Here is a 21,966-nt window from a genome sequence, read left to right on the forward strand (position 1 = left end):
TGGGCCTTCGGCGACGTCACAGGCGAGGGCGTTCGGCGACGTTACTGGGGCTGCACGGTGCTTGTAGCTGGGCAGTCTTATCATCAGAGTGGAGCCTGGTAACCACGACCTCCCCGCCAGGTCCTGTGTGTTGCTAGCTGGAGAAGGGTAGTTGAAAACTCAGACCAAGCACAGTGTTTATATCGGTCAAAACTGGAAAACTATGTCCGGGCGCAGCCGAGGCTGGAGGATCCCTTCAGGCCAAGAGCAACCTAGCAATATGGCGCGACCGGATCTCTGTAGTCCTACCTCAACCCCCAGCTACTTGAACCCCAAGGTTGAAGGCTCCAGTGAGCTATGATCCCACCACAGCATTGCAGCCTGCCAGACTGAGGTAAACCCTGTCTAAAATAATAATAATAAAAAAAAACTATCCAAGTGTGCAAGGGGAGGGACTGCTTAAAAAAAACATGAGGCTGGCTGGGCCCTGTAATCCCAGCGTTTTGGGAGGCCGAGGCGGGAGGATGGATGGCTTGGGCTCAGGAGTTTGAGACCAGCCTGGGCAACATGATGAAACCCGGTCTCTACAAAAGGTACAAAAATTAGCCAGGCGCGGTGCGCACCTGGCCAAATTTTTGTACCTTTTGTAGAGATGGGGGTCTCGCTATGTTGCCCAGGCCGGTTTCGAACAACTGGGTTTAAGCGATCTTCTCACCTTGGCCATCAGAGTTGTCGGGATTACAGGCGTGAGGGACCGCGCCCTGCTTGGATTAGGCTATTTAATAACATAAAGTGCTCATCCAGGCTTGCTGGCTGACACCTGTAATCCCAGCACTTTGGGAGGCCGAGGCGGGTGGATCACCTGAGGTCAGGAGTTCGAGACTAGCCTGGCCATGGTGAAACCCAGTCTCTACAAAAAATACAAAAATTAGCCGTATGTGGTGGTGCATGCCTGAAGTCCCAGCTCCTCGGGAGGCTGATACAGGAGAATCGCTTGAACCCAGGAGGCAGAGGTTGCAGTGAGCCGAGATCGCACCACTGCACCCCAGCCTGGGCGACACAGTGAGACTCCAGTTTGACACCAACCTGGGCAATGTAGTGAAACCCTATCTCTATAAAACAAACAAAAAACCGAGGTGTAAATGTGTCCACCTGTGGCCCTAGCTACTTAAGAGGCTGAGGCAGGAGGATCACTTGAGGCCAGGAGCTCAAGGCTGCAGTGAGCTATGATCATCCCACTGCTCTCCATCCTGAGCAATAGAATGAAAGCCTGTCTCTAGATAGTTAGCTAGCTAGCTAGATAATTGACACGTAGTTTTCTTTCTTTCTTTCTTTCTTTTTTTGAGACAGAGTCTTGTTCTGTCACGTAGGCCGGGGTGCAGTGGTGTGATCTTGGCTCACTGCAACCTCTGCCTCCTGGGTTCAAGCGATTCTCCTGCCTCAGCCTCCTGAGTAGCTGGGAATTATAGGCACACACCACCACGTCTGGCTAACTTTTTGTATCTTTAGTAGAGATGGGGTTTCACCATGTTGGTCAGGCTGATCTTGAGCTCCTGACCTCGTGATATGCCCGCCTCAGCCTCCCAAAGTGCTGGGATTACAGGCATGAGCCACCTCGCCCAGCCGATATGTAGTTTTCTATGAGAAATTTTTTTCCTAGATTTGAACATGTTTTTCTAAAGTAGCATTCAACACATCAGCATTTTACAGTGTTATTAGTTGTAATATGATTATGTTTTTCTGAAATACAGTATCCTTTACAAAAGCAGTTTTGTCTTTCAAAGCACATAGGTCCTCAAGTGAATTTGTCTGATGTTGACGACCTTGGTACCATTTTGTCCACTTGATTGGAATAGTTAGTAATTTCAGGTCACTATTGGCCTTAGAGGAAGAGCCCAAAGGCAACAAACAAGGGCACTGGTGTCCAGTTGCCTTCTAGAAGCATTTTCACCTTTCCTTAAGGTTTCCCTTGATGAACATAGAAGTACTGCATGTAGAATTGACCCAGTGCTGCCCTGGAAACTGTATATTAGGCCAAATTTACATTTCTTACCTTTATGAGAGGCACCCTGGTAGGCTAGTGGAGTTACACATGAAGTATGATCTCAGCTGCACTGTCCAGAAATGCAACATGGTCCAATCAAATAGCATTCTTCTAACCGGTTTCTTAGCTATAAAATAAGAATAACAAATATACTCATCTAAAAAGACAGCTTATTGTATCTGAGTGGTCTTTTATTTTCTATGAAACTTTAACACAGTATTTTCATTGCCATACCACATTTGTTTTTTGTTTTATTTATTTTTATTTATTTATTTTTTTGAGATGGAATCTGTTTTTGTTTTTGTTTTTGCGATGGAGTCTCACTGTTGTCACCCAGGCTGCATTGCAGTGGCATGATCTCGGCTCACTGCAACCTCCGTCTCCCAGGTTCAAGTGATTCTCCTGCCTCAGCCTCCTGAAAAGATGGGATTACAGGTGGCCAACACCACACCCGGCTAATTTATATATATATATATATTTTTAGTAGACACGGGGTTACATCATGTTGCCCAGGCTGGTCTCAAACTCCTGACCTCAAGTGATCCACCCACCTCGGCCTCCCAAATTGCTGGGATTTTCGGCATGAGCCACTGAGCCCAGCTCGTTTTTGAAAAAGGATTTCTTGACCGGTCTTGGTGGCTTACACCTGTAATCCCAGCACTTTGGGAGGGAGAGGTGGGTGGATCAACTGAGGTCAGGAGTTCGAGACCAGCCTGGGCAACATGGTGAAACCCTGTGTCTACTAAAAATACAAAATTAACCAGGCATGGTGGTGCTTGCCTGTAATCCCAGCTACTTGGGCCTGGTAATTGAACCCCTCTGACCTGAGGATGAGAAACCTTGCCTCAGTTCTTCCCCAGGTGATCTGCCCAGGGGTAAGGAAGGAGAGACCGGAAAAGAGGACCCATGAGAAGGGCCCCGTCCTGGAGTTTGAGGCCCACTCCCTCCTGCCCTGGCCTCTCCTCTGTCTAGGACTCCTCCCTGCTCTGCCCCACTCCTGGAGACATGATGCATGGGAAGCTGCGTTTGAGTACACGCCTCAGCGGCATCCCTAAGCCCAAAGTGGGCAGGCTCACCTGCAGGGGATCAGAGTAACATGGCAGGAAGGGAGGGTGAAGGCCATCCTGGAACCGCACCTCTCTGCCTCACGTCACTCGGGTGCACTCCTCCCTCACCTCACTCAGGCAGCGGCATGAGTTCAATAGGAGTGATGCCCTGCTCCCTCTGCTGCCTCTTTTTAGTCTTGGGGCTACCATAACACTTTCCCTTCCCCAGCACTGCCAACCTGGTGGGACATTGGGCTTCCCTCTCCCAGGGTCCTGGGGACAGGCCCATCCCATATCATACCTGCAGAGAGACACTTTTTTTTTCTCCAGGGCTTGAGGATCAGCCAGGTTTCATGAGTTCAATGCAGACCTGAATCATACCAAGCTGAGACTGGGGTACACACTCTCCTCTACTGAAAAGTAGTGAGGGATTCCAACTTGGTGAGAGGGAGAGTGGGGGAGAGCCAGACCAGACAAGAGTGCTCACCTGGAAAAAGCCTGCCATCAAAGGCCATGGTGAGTGCTGGGTGCGGTGGCTCACTCCTCAGCACTTTGGGAGGCTGAGATAGGTGGATCACTTGAGGCGAGGAGTTTGAGCCCAGCCTGGGGAACATGGCAGAATCCCATCTCTACTAAAAATACAAAAATTAGCTAGGCATGCTATGCTCCTGTAATCCCTGCTACTCAGGAGGCTGAGGCAGGAGAATCACTTGAACTGGGGAGGCAGAGGTCGAAGTCAGCCAAGATTGTGTCACTGCACTCCAGTCTGGGAGACAGAGTGAAACTGTGTCTCAAAAAAAAGAAAAGAAAAGAAAATGGCCTTGGCAGAAGGACCGGCCTGGCGTGCCTTCCCTTGAGTTTCTCCTGTGTAGGCCCCTGCCATGAGGAGGCGCTTCCTTCTTCTTGTCCATGGCCCACAGCAAAGGAATGTGTGCTTCTAAGGGGTTTGGTGGGGCACTGTTGACAGAACTGGAAACCTTCTTCAGGTGGGGTTTTTTGTTGTTGTTGTTGTTGAGCTGGAGCCTTGCTCTGTCACCCAGGGTGGGGTGCAGTGGCACAATCTTGGCTCATTGCAACCTCCGCCCCACCCTGGGTTCAAACAGTTCCCATGTCTCAGCCTCCTGAGTAGCTGAGATTATAGGCATGTGCCACCACGCCTGGCTAATTTTTGTATTTTTTTTAGAAATGGGGTTTCACCATGTTGGCAAGGCTGGTCTCAAATTCCTGACCTCAAGTGATCCACCCACCTTGGCCTCCCAAAGTGCTGGGATTACAGGCATGAGCCACCATGCCCAGCCCCTTCATGTGGGTTTTGAGGCTTTACTACGATACTAGTTTCCCGTGGCTGCTGCAACAAATTATTGCGCACTAAATGTCGGTACTTTTTATAAGGTGAAACAGATTAGCTTGTGAGGCTTTTGTTGTGATGGTGATTTATTAGATTATTTAAAGACAGTAATGCTCAGGTGTTGTAAAATTATAAAAACAATCTTCACATTTCATAATTTTTTTTTTTGAGACAAAGTTTCACACTTGTTGCTGGAGTTGCAATCTCGGCTCACCACAACCTCTGCCTCCCGGATTCAAGAGATTCTCCTGCCTCAGCCTCCCAAGTAGCTGGGACTACAGGTGTGCATCACCCTGCCCAGGTAATTTTTGTCCTTCAGTAGAGACAGGGTTTCACCATGTTGGCCAGGATGGTTTTGATCTCTTGACCTCGTGATCTGCCTGCCTTGGACTCCTAAAGTGCTGGGATTACAGGTGTGAGCCACCCCTCAGCCCACATTTTATAACTTTAAAGCAGTATTAATGGTAATTGCCTTAGGGAAAGATACTTTTGTTGTGATATATAAGTATGATATTCAAGTATATTGTACAGCAAAGGACATTAAACCTAAGTCAGCACTAATGTGTTATATGGTACATGTAAAACTTTAGTACAAATATTAATGTTTAGCAAATTGACCTTAACACATAATGTTAACAAAAAAATGGAGCTGTTCTGATGATAGACCATTGGTTCTGTCTGATTTTAATACTCCCCATGCTCTTGACTTTTTCTTTTTTTTCTTTGAAACAGAGTCTTGCTCTGTCACCCAGGCTGGAGTGCAGTGGTGTGATCATAGCTCACTGCAACCTCCACCACTCAGGTTCATGTGATCCTCCCACCACAGCCTCCCTAGTAGCTGGGACTACAGGCGATTGCCACCATGCCTGGCTAATTTTTGTATTTTTAGTAGAGATGGGGTTTCACCTTGTTGGCCAGGCCAGTCTCAAACTCCTGACCTCAGGTGGTTCACCTGCCTCGGCCTCCCAAAGTGTTTGGGTTACAGGCATGAGCCACTGCACCTGGCTACCTTTTAACTTTTTATAGCTGTTATATTATTTTCATCTTAAGTAAATAAATGTTAGCTGAAATGGTACAGTTCAGGAGAATCTTCTGCTTCTGTTACTAAAAAAATTATTTTTATAAGTCCAATAAGGTTATGCTAATGTTTATGTTTGGAAAATATTACCTTTTCCGGCCAGGCATGGTGTCTCATGCCTGTAATCCCAGCACTTTGGGAGGCCAAGGTGGACGGATCTCCTGAGGTCAGGAGTTCAAGACCAGCCTGACCAATATGGTGAAACCCCGTCTCTACAAAAATACAAAAATTAGTAGGGCATGGTGGCAAGTGCTGTAGTCCCAGCTACTCGGGAGGCTGAGACAGGAGAATTGCTTGGACCCAGGAGGCGATGGTTGCAGTGAACTGAGATCCTGCCACTGCACTCCATCCTGGGTGACAGAGCGAGACTCCATCTCAAAAAAAAAAAAAAAATTACCTCTTCCATAGAGTACTATCTGTATTAAATAATATTAGCTTGTATGTTTTTCTGGCTTTATAATGTGGTTCAGATTTCTGTAGAAATTCTGGCTGTATCTACATTGCCTTAAAGTAATGGGATATTTCTTTTGTTTTTTTTCAGCTGGAGTTTTGCTCTTGTCGCCCATGCTGGAGTGTGATCCTGGCTCACTGCAATCTCTGCCTCCCAAGTTCAAGCGATTCTCCTAGCTCAGCCTCCTGAGCAGCTGGGATGACAGGCACTTGCCACAACGCCTGGCTAATTTTTCTATGTTTAGTAGAGATGGGGTTTCACCATGTTGGCCAGGCTGGTCTTGAACTCCTGACTTCGTGATCTGTCTGCCTCAGCCTTCCAAAGTGTTGGGATTACAGCCATGAGCCACCATGGCCAGCCTTTCTTTTCTTTTCAAAGCCACCCTTGGTGATGAAATGTAAAATATGCACCAGTGAATATTACTTTGCTGAATATTGCCTAGTGAATATTAAGTATTTATTCTCACCTTTCAGACATGAACTTATGAATTCAACACATGAAGACTTACAACTTGATAAACCAGCTTCAGGAGGTAGGTCTTCAGTCTTAAGTCAGATTAGAAGATTATGTGAAATAATTATTTAATGCTTAACAATGATTTTTTTAATGGTAGCTTTCACATGAAATAAGATCCCTCTTACTTTTAATTATGTTCCAGGACAGGAGAATTCATGTTGTCAAAATTCTAATACTCTTTAGAACAATAAACTCATTTTCTTTTTATTAACCCCTTATAAATACATGTAAATGTTGCATTTATGGTTAGACATAACTAAAAGCACAATATTTGTCCTACTTTTGAGATGCAAGATTTATCTGGCATAATGCATTGAACAGTTTATTATTGAAGTCTACACTAGTCAACTGAACAAGCATTCATCAAATGTCCACGATACCCAGGACATAAGAAGGTTCCTTTTAGAGTATGGAGCCATGCATATCATCTCTTAATTGTTAGATGTGTTTTGAAAGAAATAGAAATATAATTGATTTTCTTACTTGTTTTGGTTCTGGAGTGGAGTGCAGACAAAAAAGAATGGAATCACACTGTTTAGATTTACTAAAATGGAAGGATTGCCAGCAAGATCATATCCCTAGTCTCCCCATAGCAAATGGCACCTGCTAGCTGTTCACTGCTCTTTTTTTTTTTTTTTTTTTTTTTTTTTTTGAGATGGCGCTTTCCTCTGTTGCCCATGCTGGAGTGCAGTGGTATGATCTCAGCTCACTGCAAGCTCCACCTCCTGGGTTCAAGCAATTCTTCCTGCCTCAGCCTCCCAAGTAGCTGGGATTACAGGCACCTGCCACCATGCCTGCCTAATTTTTTTATTTGCAGTAGAGTTTGGGTTTCACCGTGTTGGCCAGGCTGGTCTGGAACTGCTGACCTCAGGTGATCTGCCCGCCTTGGCCTCCCAAAGTACTGGGATTACAGGCATGAGACAGCCTATCCTGTCTGCTAGTGGTTCTTGAGCACACAGTTCTGCTTTTTCCTAGCTTTAAAGAATGTCTGGTTCTTTCTTTTTTTGTGCAGTGTATGTCAGCATTGTTTCAGTAATAAATACAATCTGGATCTTAGAAATAATATTAGTCATGGTGCCAGGTGCAGTGGCTCACGCCTGTAATCCCAGCACTTTGGGAGGCTGAGGTGGGTGGAGCACGAAGTCAGGAGATCGAGACCATCCTAGCTAACATGGTGAAACCCTGTCTCTACTAAAAATACAAAAAATTAGCCGGGTGCGTGTAGTCCCAGCTACTCGGGAGACTGAGGCAGGAGAATGGCATGAGCCCAGGAGGCGGAGCTTGCAGTGAGCCGAGATTGTGCCACTGCACTCCAGCCTGGGTGACAGAGCGAGACTCCATCTCAAAAAAAAAAATTAGTCACAGGAAAGAAAAATACTGCCATTTTATAATAATAATATTTAATAACCTAAGTTATTAAACCCATTAGATTGAGAAAACTTGTATTCCTGTGATTTCGATAGTGAAGGAAGTATGGTATACCAGAATCACTAAATTATGAAAGATGGTAGATCAGCTTTTTGCAAAAAAATTTGGTAAGTCTGTTTTTTTCCCCTTCAATTAAATTATATTACTGAGTAATGTATTTTATAATGATGTTTTATTTAGGAAAGTAAATACAATGAGTAGGACTCAGCTCCAGTTTTCTCTTACTGTTTTGTTTTTGAGACAGAGTTTCGCTCATGTTACCCAGGCTGGAGTGCAGTGGCATGGTCTTGGATCACTGCAACCTCCACCTCCCAGGTTCAAGCTATTGTCCTGCCTCAGCCCCCAAGTAGGTGGGATTACTGGCACCTGCCACCATGCCCAGCTAATTTTTGTATTTTTAATAGAGATGGGGTTTCACCATGTTGGTCAGGCTGGTCTCGAACTCCTGACCTCAGGTGATCCACCCACCTCAGCCTCCCAACCTGCTGGGATTATAGGCATGAACCACCACGCCCAGGCTCTCATACTGTTTTATTTATTTTTTTTTTTATTTTTTTTTTCCAGGCTGGAGTGCAATGGTGCGATCTGGGCTCACTGCAACCTCTACCTCCTGGGTTCAAGCGATTCTCCTGTGTCAGCCTCCTGAATAGCTGGGATCACAGGCATGTACCACTACACCCAACTAATTTTTTTTTTTGTATTTTTTGTAGTGATGGGGTTTCACCATGTTGGCCAGGCTGGTCTTAAGCTCCTGACCTCAGGTGATCCACCCGCCTTGGCCTTCCAGAGTGCCGAGATTACAGGTGAGAGCCACCGAACTCTGCCAGGAGTGGATTATTTTTATGCTTCACCTTTTAGACCACAGAGAATAACTTCCTGATGTTGCCATGGCATTTGTAAACTGCCATGGCATTGGTGGGAGTGTAGCAGTGAGGATGACCAGAGGTCACTCTCGTCATTATCTTGGTTTTGGCTGGCTTTTTTACTGCAACTCATTTTATCAGCAAGGTCTTTATGACCTGTATATTGTGCTGACCTCCTCCGTCACCCTGTGACTTAGAAAGCCTTAACCATCTGGGAATGTAGCTCAGTAGGTCTCAGCCTCATTTTACCCAGCTCCTATTTAAAATCAAGTTGCTCTCATTTAAATGCCTATGACAGTATTGCTGCTTTCTTTAAGGTTCCTGAAAGGGAGAGAGGAAATCTTCGATTTTTCATGGCTGTGAACCACTGCAAGTATTGAAGAAATATTTACTACTTCCAGCCTCATAATCCTGCAGTCATTTGGCACCTGTGAGTCAGGTGTGGGGGGAACTACCCCATACATTCTGGAGCATTCAATCTGGTGGGGAAAGGTGTAGTAAGTAGGAGATATTTACTACATAAGGTGTTAAGGTCTGGGATAGAATTAGGTAGAATAAGGGGATGGGGAGGCAGGGGGTGTGACTGGGGCAGCCTTGATGATAAGTGAGGAGCACATTCTGCAGTTGGTCTCACCTCTTTCTGAAACTTCCACTTTTTTCACTCTCAACTTCAACAATTGGTTCTTTTTTATTTTATAGAAAGTTTGTTAGAATTAGGTTTATATATTTTCTTGCTGAATTAACAGGATAATTTTATTTAACATCACTCTCTAGTGTGACTGAAAGCCTCTAATCCTTTACTGTTATTTGTTTATGGGCATATTTGTTTTTACAGCTATGATAATTATTTCATTTTGTGTGGTTTCTCAAAAACATGTGTTTCTTATATCAAAGAGTCTGTATACTAGAGTCTTTCAGATTTGGTGCTAATAACATTAAGTAAGAATTTAAGACAAGTCTTGAGATGTTAGAGGAAAGCCAGTCTAGGAACAAATAAAGTAATTATTAATTTATTTATTTTGAGTTGACATTTAAGTTGAGGTGTGGAGGTGGAGGAGACAGTTGGATAAATGAGTTTGGAAGTAAGGAGAAAGATCTGGCAATAGATATAATTTTGGATTTTATAGTGGTGTTTTGATAGCAATTGTTGCTATCGCCAAAATAATTCATCAACGAGCTCCCTGACAGCTCCCTGACCTTTCTTTTTAAAGAAACAGGGTTGGCCGGGTGCGGTGGCCCATGCCTGTAATCCCGGCATTTTGGAAGGCAGTTCACCTGAGGTCAGGAGTTTGAGACCAGCCTGACCAACATGGAGAAACCCCATCACTACTAAAAATACAAAATTAGCTGGGTGTGGTGGTGTTTGCCTGTAATCCCAGCTACTCTGGAGGCTGAGGCAGCAGAACTGCTTGAGCCCAGCAGCCAGAGGTTGCAGTGAGCCGAGATCACACCATTACACTCCAGCCTGGGCAACAAGAGTGAAACTGCATCTTAAAAAAAAAAAAAAAAAAGAAACAGGGTCTTCTTATGTTCTCTGGGCTGGACTAGAACTCCTATGCTCACGTTATCCTCCTGCCTCAGTCTCCAAGTAGCTGGGGCTATAGGCACATGCCAGCATGTCCAGCTTTGAGCCACTCCCACCCATCATGTTGCAAAATATTTAAATGTTACATACAGAGATGCGAGGGAGATGTGCATATAAGCAGCACCATGTAAATTGCTTGAATCTTTTTTTTAGAGTTCTGTTTGGATGTGGCTTCAGAGCAGGGATTAGTCAATTCATTTTTACTTTTTTTATTTTCTGAGGTGGATTCTCACTCTGTCACCCAGGCTGGAGTGCAGTGGCAAAATCTCAGCTCACTTCAGCCTCCGCCTCGTGGATTCTCTTGCCTCAGCCTCCTGAGTAGCTGGGATTACAGGTGCCTGCCACAATACCCGGCTGATTTTTGTTTGTTTGTTTATTGTATTTTTGGTAGAGACAGGCTTTCACCATGTTGACCAGGCTGGTCTCGAAATCCTGACTCATGTGATCCACCTGCCTCGGCCTCCCAAAGTGCTGGGATTACAGGTATGAGTCACTGCGCCTGGCTGTTTTATTTTACATTTTTAAATCACAATTTTTATACCTATTCAAAAGTAGAGAAAATAGTACAATGACCACTAAAATACCCATTCCTCAATTTCTGTGATCTTTAAGATTGTCCCACATTTTGTTCTATTCCTTTACCTCCCTTTGCAGGAATATTGTAAAGCACATCAGTCATCACATCATTTTATCTGTTCAGTGTGCATCCCCGAACAACATTTACATATTCCTACACAGCCAGTATCTCATCACATCTGACAAAATTAACAACGATTTTTTTGTTGTCAGCTCATATGCAGCCCTTAGTTGAGTTTCCTCACTCTTTTCTTTTCTTTTTTTTTTTTTTTTTTTTGAGACAGAGTCTTGTCCTGTCGCCCAGGCTGGAGTACAATGGCGTAATCTCGGCTCACTGCAGCCCCTGCCCCCTGTGCTCCAGTGATTCTCCTGCCTCAGCTTCCTGAGTAGCTGGGATTACAGGCACATGCCACCACACCCGGCTAATTTTTGTATTTTTAGTAGAGATGGGGTTTTGCCATATTGGCCAGGCTGGTCTTGAACTCCTGACCTCAGGTGATCCTGCCACCTCGGCCTCCCAAAGTGCTGGGATTACAGGCATGAGCCACTACACCCAGCCAAGTTTCTCACTCTTACCTGGACGGTATCTCATTTTCTCATTATCTGAAAAATTTTGCTTTAAATCTGGATCCAAAAAATCTTCACGTGCTAACTTTGGTTGTTATGCTTCTTGTAATCTAAACTGGCCTCTGCTTACTTTTTTTATTTCCCAATTCATGAATTCTATGTGCAGAGTTTTTATATATATATATATATCTTGCTCACGAGGTTGAAGGGGTAAAGAACATTGATCTTGTTGTTTCAGTGTAGATGAAAGTTTAGCCTGAAATGTGCCAGTTTGCAGCAGCCAATGGAGGAGGGTTATTACAGTCATGAACAGTTCATAGCAAAAGGCTGCTTCCAAATAGTATTTGCAGGCCGGGCGCAGTGGCTCATGCCTGTAATCGCAGCCCTTTGGAAGGCAGAGATGGGTGCATCACTTGAAGTTAGGAGTTTGAGACCAGCCTGGCCAACATGGTGAAACCCTGACTCTACTGAAAAGTACAAAAGTTAGCCAGGCATGGTGGCGGGCACCTGTAATTTTAGCTACTCAGGAGGCTCAGGCAAGAGAATCACTTGAACCCAGGAGGCAGGGGTTGGAATGAACCGAGATCATGCTACTGCACTCCAGCCTGGGTGACAGAGCAAGACTCCATCTCAAAAAAGAAAAAAAACAAAACAAATAGTATTTAGGTTGTATTCTTTATTGTCTATAATGATTTTCTTTCTCTCTCTTCTTCCTAAGGATATTGAAAAATAGAGTTCAATCTTTTAAGATCTTAGAGTTATTAAGATTGTCTTGGGACCAGGGCACTTAAATTTGCCAAAATCAGGCTGTTAATGATGGGTAATTTTTATTTATTTATTTATTTATCTGTTTATTTATTTATTTTTGAGATGGAGTCTCGCTCTGTCACCCAGACTGGAGTGCAGTGGCGCTATCTCTGCTCACTGCAAGCTCTGCCTCCCAGGTTCACGCCATTCTCCTGCCTCAGCCTCCTGAGTAGCTGGAACTACAGGTGCCCGCCACCACACCCAGCTGATTTTTTGTATTTTTAGGAGAGATGGGGTTTCACCGTGTTAGCCAGGATGGTCTCGATCCCCTGACCTCGTGATCTGCCCGACTCGGCCTCCCAAAGTGTTGGGATTACAGGCGTGAGCCACTGTGCTTGGCTATTCTTCTTATTATTATTTTAATTTTTAAAATTTTTATTTCTCAGCCTTGGGATTCTGATATGTAAACATGCAAGTATCTTCAAAGATAGAAAACATACACAGTTATCATTAAAATGGGAGAACTCAGAATATACAATCATGGAGCAGTGCCCTCCACCAGCCCCCCAGCTAACTACAGCTGCAAGCATGATTCTCATGCTCTCTCGTACCTAGTGTTCAACTAGTGACACAGCTTCTTCACTCATGGGGAAGGGCCATCAGCAAATGGCACTCAAGCATGGTGGCTTGAGAAAGATCCCACACACTCGAGGCCATGTTGGAGACATTTCATGAAAGGATTAGGTGGGTTACCCCTGGCTTTCTGCTCCAGAGTTTATCAAGACTGATATTAAAGTAAATGCATTGTAAGCCACACATACAAGTTGTGGAGTGAAGTAAACAGAGTGATTTTTTTGTTTGTCCTGTTTTATAGGCTTTAATTAAATTGTGGCCTTGGATTGGGGGCAGGATTTTGTGATTATTTTTATTTTTATTATACTTGAAGTTCTGGGGTACATGTGAAGAATGTGCAGTTTTGTTACATAGCTATACACACGTGCCATGGTTGTTTGCTGCACCCATCAACCCCTCATCTACATTAGGTATTTCTCCTAGTGCTATCCCTTCTTTAGCCCCCAACCCCCCGACAGGCCCCGATGTGTGATGTTCCCCTCCCTGTGTCCAAGTGTTCTCATTGTTCAACTCCCACTTATGAGTGAGAACATGCAGTTTTTGGTTTTCTGTTCTTGTATTCGTTTGCTAAGAATGATGATTTCCAGCTTCATCCATGTTCCTGCAAAGGACATGAACTCATCCTTTTTTATGCCTGCATAGTATTCCATGGTGTATATGTGCCACATTTTCTTTATCCAGTCTATCATTGATGAACTTTTGGGTTAGTTCCAAGTTTTTGCTATTGTGAATAGTGCCACAATGAACATACTTGTGTATGCATCTTTATAGCAGAATGATTTATAATCCTTTAGGTATATGCCCAGTAATGGGATTGCTGGATCAAATGGTATTTCTGGTTCTAGATCCTTGAGGAATCGCTACACTGTCTTTCACAATGGTTAACCTAATTTACATGCCCAACAACTGTGTAAAAGCATTCCTATTTCTCCACATCCCCTCCAGCATCTTCTGTTTACTGACTTTTTAATGATCACCATTCTAACTGGAGTGGTTTTGATTTGCATTTCTCTAATGACCATTGATGATGAGCTTTTTTTCATCTGTTCTTTAGCTGCATGAATGTCTTCTTTTGAGAAGCGTCTGTTCATATCCTTTGCCCACTTTTGATGGGGTTGTTTTTTTCTTGTAATTTTGTTTAAGTTCTTTGTAGATTCTGGAAATTAGCCGTTTGTCAGATAGACAGATTGCACAAATTTTGTCCCATTCTGTAGGTTGCTTGTTCACTCTGATGATAGTTTCTTTTGCTGTGCTGTGCTCTTTAGTTTAATTAGATCCCATCTGTCAATTTTGGCTTTTGTTGCCATTGCTTTTGGTGTCCTTTTAGTCATGAAGTCTTTGCCCATGCCTATGCCCTGAATGGTATTGCCTAGGTTTTCTTCTAGGGTTTTTATGGTTTTAGGTCTTACGTTTAAGTCTTTAATCCATCTTGGGTTAATTTTTGTATAAGGTGTAAGGAAGGGGTCCAGTTTCAGTTTCTGCATATGGCTCAAGCAGTTTTCCCAACACCATTTATTAAATAGGGAATCCTTTCCCCATTGCTTGTTTTTGTCAGGATTGTCAAAGATCAGATGGTTGTAGATGTGTGATGTCATTTCTGAGGCCTCTGTTCTGTTCCATTGGTCTATATATCTGTTTCAGTACCAGTACCATGCTGTTTCGGTTACTGTAGCCTTGTAGTATAGTTCGAAGTCAGGTAGCGTGATACCTCCATCTTTGTGCTTTTTGCTTAGGATTGTCTTGGCTATGCGGGCTCTTTTTTGGTTCCATATGAAATTTAAAGTAGTTTTTTCCAATTGTGTCAAGAAAGTCAATGGTAGCTTGATAGGGATAGCATTGAATCTATAAATTACTTTGGGCAGTATGGCCATTTTTACAATATTGATTCTTCCTATCCATGAGCATGGAATGTTTTTCCATTTATTTGTGTCCTCTCTTATTTCCTTGAGGAGTGGTTTGTAGTTCTCCTTGAAGAGGTCCTTCACATCCCTTGTAAGTTGTATTCCTAGGCATTTTATTCTCTTTGTAGCAGTTGTGAATGGTAGTTCACTCATGATTTGGCTCTCTATTATTGGTGTATAGGGATGCTTGTGATTTATGCACATTGATTTTGTATCCTGAGACTTTGCTGAAGCTGATTATCAGCTTAAAGCGATTTGGGGCTGAGACGATGGGGTTTTCTAAATAAACAATCATGCCACCTGGAAACAGAAATTTGACTTCCTCTCTTCCTAATTGAATACGCTTTCTTTCTTTCTCTTGCCTGATTACCCTGGCCAGAACTTCCAATACTATGTTGAATAGGAGTGGTGAGAGAGGGCATCCTTGTCTTGTGCCAGTTTTCAAAGGGAATGCTTCCAGTTTTTGTCCATTCAGCATGATGTTGGCTGTGGGTTTGTCATAAATAGCTCTTATTATTTTGAGATATGTTTCATCAATATCTAGTTTATTGAGAGTTTTTAGCATGAAGGGTGTTGAAATTTGTCGAAGGCCTTTTCTGCATCTATTGAGATAATCATGTGGTTTTTATCATTGGTTCTGTTTATGTGATGGATTACATTTGTCCATTTGCGTATGTTGAACAAGCCTTGCATCCCAGGTATGAAGCTGACTTGATTGTGGTGGATAAGCTTTTTGATGTGTTGCTGGATTTGATTTGTCAGTATTTTATTGAGGATTTTCACATCGATGTTCATCAGGGATATTGGCCTGAAATTTTCTTTTTTGTTGTGTCTCTGCCAGGTTTTATCTGGGTGATGCTGGCCTCATAAAATGAGTTAGGGAAGAGTCCCTCTTTTTCTGTTGTTTAGAATAATTTCAGAAGGAATGGTACCAGCTCCACTTTGTACTTCTGTTGGAATTCAGCTGTGAATCTGTCTGGTCCTGGACTTCTTTTGGTTGGTAGGCTATTAATTACTGCCTCAATTTCAGGACTTGTTACTGGTCTGTTCAGGGATTTGGCTTCTTCCTGGTTTAGACTTGGGAGGGTGTATGTGTCCAGGAATTTATCCATTTCTTCTAGATTTTCTAGTTTATTTGCATAGAGGTATTTATAGTATTCCCTGATGGTAGTTGGTATTTCTGTGGGATCAGTGGTGATGGCCCCTTTATCATTTTTTTTATTGCATCTATTTGATTCTTGTCTCTTTTCTTCTTTGTTATTCTGGCTAGTGGTCTATCTATTTTGTTGATCTTTTCAAAAAATCAGCTCCTGGATTCATTGAATTTTTGGAGGGTTTTTCTTGTCTCTATCTCCTTCAGTTCTGCCCTGATCTTAGTTATTTCTTGTCTTCTGTTAGCTTTTGAATTTGTTTTTTCTTGCTTCTCTAGTTCTTTTAATTTTGATGTTAGGGTGTCAATTTTAAATCTTTCCTGCTTTCTCTTGTGGGCCTTGCGTGTTATAAATTTCTCTCTAAACACTGTTTTAAATGTGTGCCAGAGATTCTGGTATGTTGTGTCTTTGTTTTTATTGGTTTTGAAGAACATCTTTATTTCTGCCTTAATTTTGTTATTTACCCACTAGTCATTCAGGAGCGGGTTATTCAGTTTCCATGTAGTTGTGTGGTTTTGAGTGAGTTTCTTAATCCTGAGTTCTAATTTAATTGCACTGTGGTCTGAGAGACTGTTTGTTATTATTTCCGTTCTTTTGCATTTGCTGAGGAGTGTTTTACTTCCAATTATGTGATCAATTTTAGAATAAGTGTGATGAAGTGCTGAGAAGAATGTATATTCTGTGGATTTGGGTGGAGAGTTCTGTAGATGTCTATTAGGTCTGCTTTGTCCAGAACTGAGTTCAAGTCCTTAATATCCTTGTTAATTTTCTCTCTCGTTGATCTGTCTAATGATGGGTCATTTATACTTGCCTTTGCTTTAAGTCTGTTTCAATAGTTAGTAAATATGTTTCTAGAGTTTTTCCAATTAAAAAAATTGACCTGCACCTTGCTTTGGATTGTACTAAAATCTGATTTCAACACAAACATAATCTTCTGAATTACTTTGGTTTTTTCAGCTGAAGCCTTGGGGAGCACTGAAGCCAAGGCTGCACCGTACCAAAAATTTGAAACATGTGAATGAGCTGAATGTGGAAGGACTACCGGAAAACACTCCTTTCAGAATCCCCTCATTGCATGAAATCCCAAGGCTCGAAAACATCTTTCAAGTGAGCAATTGAATTAAGTTTGTTATTAAGAGGTAAGATGATAATCTGCAGAAACAAATTCATTGTCTTCCCTAAGGAGAGATTAATTTGACCAAGATGGGCCTTTTGTTCCCCTCTCATCATGACTCCTTTATATTAAAATTAACATTTAGATTCATTTATTGAACAAACATTTATTTAGTATAAGCATCAGTTGTGCAAAATTGGTTCTAGCAAGAACCCTGTCCTTGGGAGGCTTAATACTCAGAAAAATGCAATGAAGAGTTATTGAGCATTTTTGGGGGAGAAGGCAAGGTTGGCACACCCAGATCAGTCACTTGTGCATCCAGAAGGGAGGCAATGTGTTTCAAATATGAGTAAAGGCAGAGAGGAGTCAAATATGCTCACATATTCACATACATTACCCATTCTGTGTGGAGTGAGGAGTGCCATGTGGGCATGGTGGGACTGCTTAGATAGACTTTTGTGGCCAAATGGAGGAAGGTCTTGGCTCCTACAAAAGCAGTGGCAGTCATTAACTGGTCTCATAGCAGTTTCCTCTTAAAATAATTTGGATCTGCCCTTTAGAAAAGTTAATCTGGCTTGATTTTGAAGGGTAACACATGAATAGTTTGAGTGTTTGGGGATAGGAACAGAAGGCCTCTCTCTACTCATAGAAGGAATGTTGAAGTGGGTAGAGTCTTGCTTACTGATTGAGGTTGTGCATCTGTGTATTCGTTGGGACTGAGTTATAAGGGAGAGGAAAGGTTTAAGATGATACAGCAAGCTGCTTCTGGCTGTGCTGTGGGACAGTTCATCTAAGATTCAGAAATATAATTGGGCTGGTTTGGGGGAAAAGTGACTTTTGCATATTTATCTTACAAAAAAGATGACTTTGGAGACATCCAGGTGGTCTCGCCTGAATGTCTGAAAATTGCTATTTTCAAAATTCAAGTCACCAAAATGATTTTTTTTCACTGTAAAATGAAGGCAGAATGGATTATGTTTAAAAATTGGCCGGGCACAGTGGCTCATGCTTGTAATCCCAGCACTTTGGGAGGCTGAGGCAGGTGGATTACCTGAGGTCAGGAGTTCAAGACCAGCCTGGCCAACATGGCAAAACCCTGTGTCTACTAAAAATACAAAAATTAGCCAGGTGTGGTGGTGTGAACTTGCGGTCCCAGCTACTCAGGAGGTTGAGGCAGGAGAATAGCTTGAACCTGGGAGGCAGAGGTTGCAGTGAGTCGAGATTGTGCCACTGCACTCCAGCCTGGATGACAGAATGAGACTCCATCTCAAATAATAATAATAATAATATTTAGCAGTGCAAAGCTGTGTGAGAAAGACCTGTAAATATCTTCTAAATGTTTTATTATAATATTAATATCAACTGTTTTTTACAGACCAAAACTTCTTACTCACAATACAACTGAAGTTACTCAGCCAAGAACAAATACAACAAGTAAAATAGTTGTGAAATCCTTTTTAAAAGCACAGATTAATCTTGAAGCTTTTAAAAATTAATCTTTTACATGATGGAACTGCTCCTTCCTTCACCTCCCCAAAAAATCTTTTGCAGAAGCTCAATATAGGCACTCTGTGATTTATCAATATGAACAGATGCAGTGTAGGGATAACCCAAGGTTTTTTTTTTCTTTCTTTTTTTGATACAGAGTCTCACTCTGTCACCCAGGCTGGAGTGCAGTGGTGTGATCTTGGCTCACTGCAACCAGGCTCAAGCAATTCTCCTGCCTCAGCCTTCCGAGTAGCCGGGATTACAGGCTAAGTTAGCCATGCCTGGTTAAGTTTTTTATTTTGTGTAGAGACGAGTTTTCACCATATTGGCCAGGCTGGGTTCAGGTGATCCTTCTGCCTGAGCCTCCCGAAGTGCTGGGATTACAGATGTGAGTCATCGCACCTGGCATTAAGCTTTGAATTTTGACCGGTGGTATCCAAAAGAAATACAATGTGTGCTGCAAATGCAAGCCACATACATAATTTTATATTTTCGAGTTCAACCTGAAATCATTATAAATAAACACACAATGAAGTATTTCACATTCTTCATTTGCATATATTCTTTTTGTTGACAATTGGTGTGTCTTTCATACTCACAGGATATTTCAGTTTGAAGTAGCCACATTTCAGCTGTTCAGGGATAACAGTTACTATTTGCCTTTAGACCTTAATGTTTATTCATGTGTGCCCTGTTCCTAAAATGGCAAATACTGTCATTCTGGCCTGCACACGAATATCACAGCTAACAGAAAAAGATCTAATAAGTCTCTGTTGAGCAAATAATGTCATTTTCTTTTTGAGGGGAATGAAGTTTTGCTCTTGTTGCCCAGACTAGAGTACAATGGCGCGATCTCAGCTGACCGCTACCTCCGCCTCCCAGGTTCAAGCGATCCTCCTGCCTCAGCCTTCCAAGTAGCTGGGATTCTAGGTGCATGCCACCATGCCTGACTAAATTTTGTATTTTTAGTAGAGATGGGGTTTTGCCACGTTGGCCAGGCTGGTCTCGGACCCCTGTCCTCAAGTGATCCGCCCACCTCGGCCTCCCAAAGTGTTAGGATTACAGGCATGAGCCACCGTGCCCAACCTAGTTTATTAGAGCTCTAAGTGTACCTTTATTTCCCATCTTTTTGTTTGCCATTGTGCATTGTCAGAGTAAGTGACCACAATTTGTAGATCATCCATTACCTTAGGAACTTATGTTGCCAAGAACTAATAAATGGCCATTTAGTATGAAGTTTTGTATTGTCAGGAAATAAGTGTTGGGAATCAAGTATGAACTATGTATGTGTATTAGGTGTTTACAAATTTGTGCAGTTAATCCTTCTCATGAATACTAAGGTGAATAAATGTTCTCAAGTTGGCTTAATGGGTGTGTCCTAAAATACTGCTCCTTCAGCTTTCACAGTACCTTGGGGCAATTACTTGTCAGTCAGTGTGCCAAATAGATTTTGTGTGGATTATGGCATGGAAAGTGGTTGAGAAATTCTGTAGTAGGGTAACAAAATTATCCTTGCCCAAGAGTTCTGCAATGGAGAAGACAAAACTCAGTGCTTAACTCATAGGTTAAGCATGGTTTTCGTTTTTGTTTTTGTTTTTTTTTCTTTGAGACAGAGTCTCACTTTGTCACCCAGGCTGGAGTGCAGTGGCATGATTTCAGCTCACTGAAACATTTGCCTCCCGGGTTCAAGCAATTCTCCTGCCTCATTCTCCTGAGTAGCTGGGATTACAGGTGCATGCCACCATGCCTGACTAAATTTTGTATTTTTAGTAGAGATGGGGTTTTGCCACGTTGGCCAGGCTGGTCTCGGACCCCTGTCCTCAAGTGATCCGCCCACTTCGGCCTCCCAAAGTGTTAGGATTACAGGCGTGAGCCACCGTGCCCAACCTAGTTTATTAGAGCTCTAAGTGTACCTTTATTTCCCATCTTTTTGTTTGCCATTGTGCATTGTCAGAGTAAGTGACCACAATTTGTAGATCATCCATTACCTTAGGAACTTATGTTGCCAAGAACTAATAAATGGCCATTTAGTATGAAGTTTTGTATTGTCAGGAAATAAGTGTTGGGAATCAAGTATGAATTATGTATGTGTATTAGGTGTTTACAAATTTGTGCAGTTAATCCTTCTCATGAATACTAAGGTGAATAAATGTTCTCAAGTTGGCTTAATGGGTGTGTCCTAAAATACTGCTCCTTCAGCTTTCACAGTACCTTGGGGCAATTACTTGTCAGTCAGTGTGCCAAATAGATTTTGTGTGGATTATGGCATGGAAAGTGGTTGAGAAATTCTGTAGTAGGGTAACAAAATTATCCTTGTCCAAGAGTTCTGCAATGGAGAAGACAAAACTCAGTGCTTAACTCATAGGTTAAGCATGGTTTTCGTTTTTGTTTTTGTTTTTTTTTCTTTGAGACAGAGTCTCACTTTGTCACCCAGGCTGGAGTGCAGTGGCATGATTTCAGCTCACTGAAACATTTGCCTCCCGGGTTCAAGCAATTCTCCTGCCTCATTCTCCTGAGTAGCTGGGATTACAGGTGCATGCCACCATGCCTGGCCAATTTTTGTATTTTTAGAAGAAATGGGATTTCACCATGTTGGCCAGGCTGGTCTCAAACTCCTGACCTTGTGATCCACCCACTTCAGCCTCCCGAAGTGCTGGGATTACAGGTGTGAACCACCACACCTTGCCCTCAGCATGCTTTTGATTTAGCTGAAGAATCAAAGCATTGGTGAAGAATTGAAGATTGGAAGTTACACATTTCTTGCTAAGGGAAGTAATAGAGAAAGAAAAATATTCCTGAAGGTAGATCTTCAGTTTGCATTAGTCTGAAGATGATGAAACCTGTAGAAAACTTCATTTCTGAAGAGAAAGCTCAAATTCAAGGTTGTGAGGAGTGCAGTCACCATTTTTGTTAGGGGCAGTTGTGACAGTTATTGCAGAAAGTGAGAATGCGAAACCTGTATTATATAAAGAATGTGCAAGTGTTGTAGAAGACACTGCAAGGATTGGGTGCTGGAGCAGTGCTGGACCTGCCATCGTCACCAGAGTACAGCAGGTGTCACCAGAAGGAGAATCTCCACTCTTGCCATCATTGACAGCCCTTGACTTTGTCCCACTCATAAAAGATCTTGGAAGGAATTAAAGGTGCTTGGTGGTTCCTAATTTTAACATAACCTTACTTGGCCTGACCGTGGACCATGCATTAGTGTTTGGACAGGACAATTAAAATCACAGAGCACATGACAAAAGAATTTTGTGGCCATCAGAATTGTCTCCTTAAACACACCATGGGTGCACTGTGTCCTCAGCTTGGTGAAAGGTAGAAGTTACACGTGAGAAGGCGGTGGAGCCAGGCACATGATGGAGCCTCGAAGAGTGGAAGGTGGCACCTGGCTCTGTGAGGAGGGTGTGAAGTCCTCCATGGGAGGAAGAGATGCCAGCAAAGGAGGTGA

The 21,966-nt window shown here is 42.8% G+C and overlaps 1 long non-coding RNA gene and 1 pseudogene across 1 annotated transcript in view; both read left to right on the forward strand.

The window, feature by feature from the left end:
• The first annotated feature begins 18 nt into the window (after positions 1-18).
• The window catches only part of LINC02750 (long intergenic non-protein coding RNA 2750), a 64,973-nt gene continuing 43,025 nt past the window's right edge, over positions 19-21,966 (forward strand). Inside the window, exons 1-6 of the long non-coding RNA NR_183624.1 lie at positions 19-373; positions 4,589-4,718; positions 6,037-6,478; positions 7,892-7,997; positions 9,071-9,183; positions 16,871-17,052. This is a non-coding gene — a long non-coding RNA (long intergenic non-protein coding RNA 2750). The remainder of the gene's footprint in view (positions 374-4,588; positions 4,719-6,036; positions 6,479-7,891; positions 7,998-9,070; positions 9,184-16,870; positions 17,053-21,966) is intronic.
• Positions 16,871-17,059, forward strand: GTF2IP15 (general transcription factor IIi pseudogene 15; annotated as a pseudogene).

The sequence above is a fragment of the Homo sapiens genome, chromosome 11 (assembly GCF_000001405.40).
Source record: "Homo sapiens chromosome 11, GRCh38.p14 Primary Assembly".
Lineage (NCBI taxonomy): Eukaryota > Metazoa > Chordata > Mammalia > Primates > Hominidae > Homo > Homo sapiens.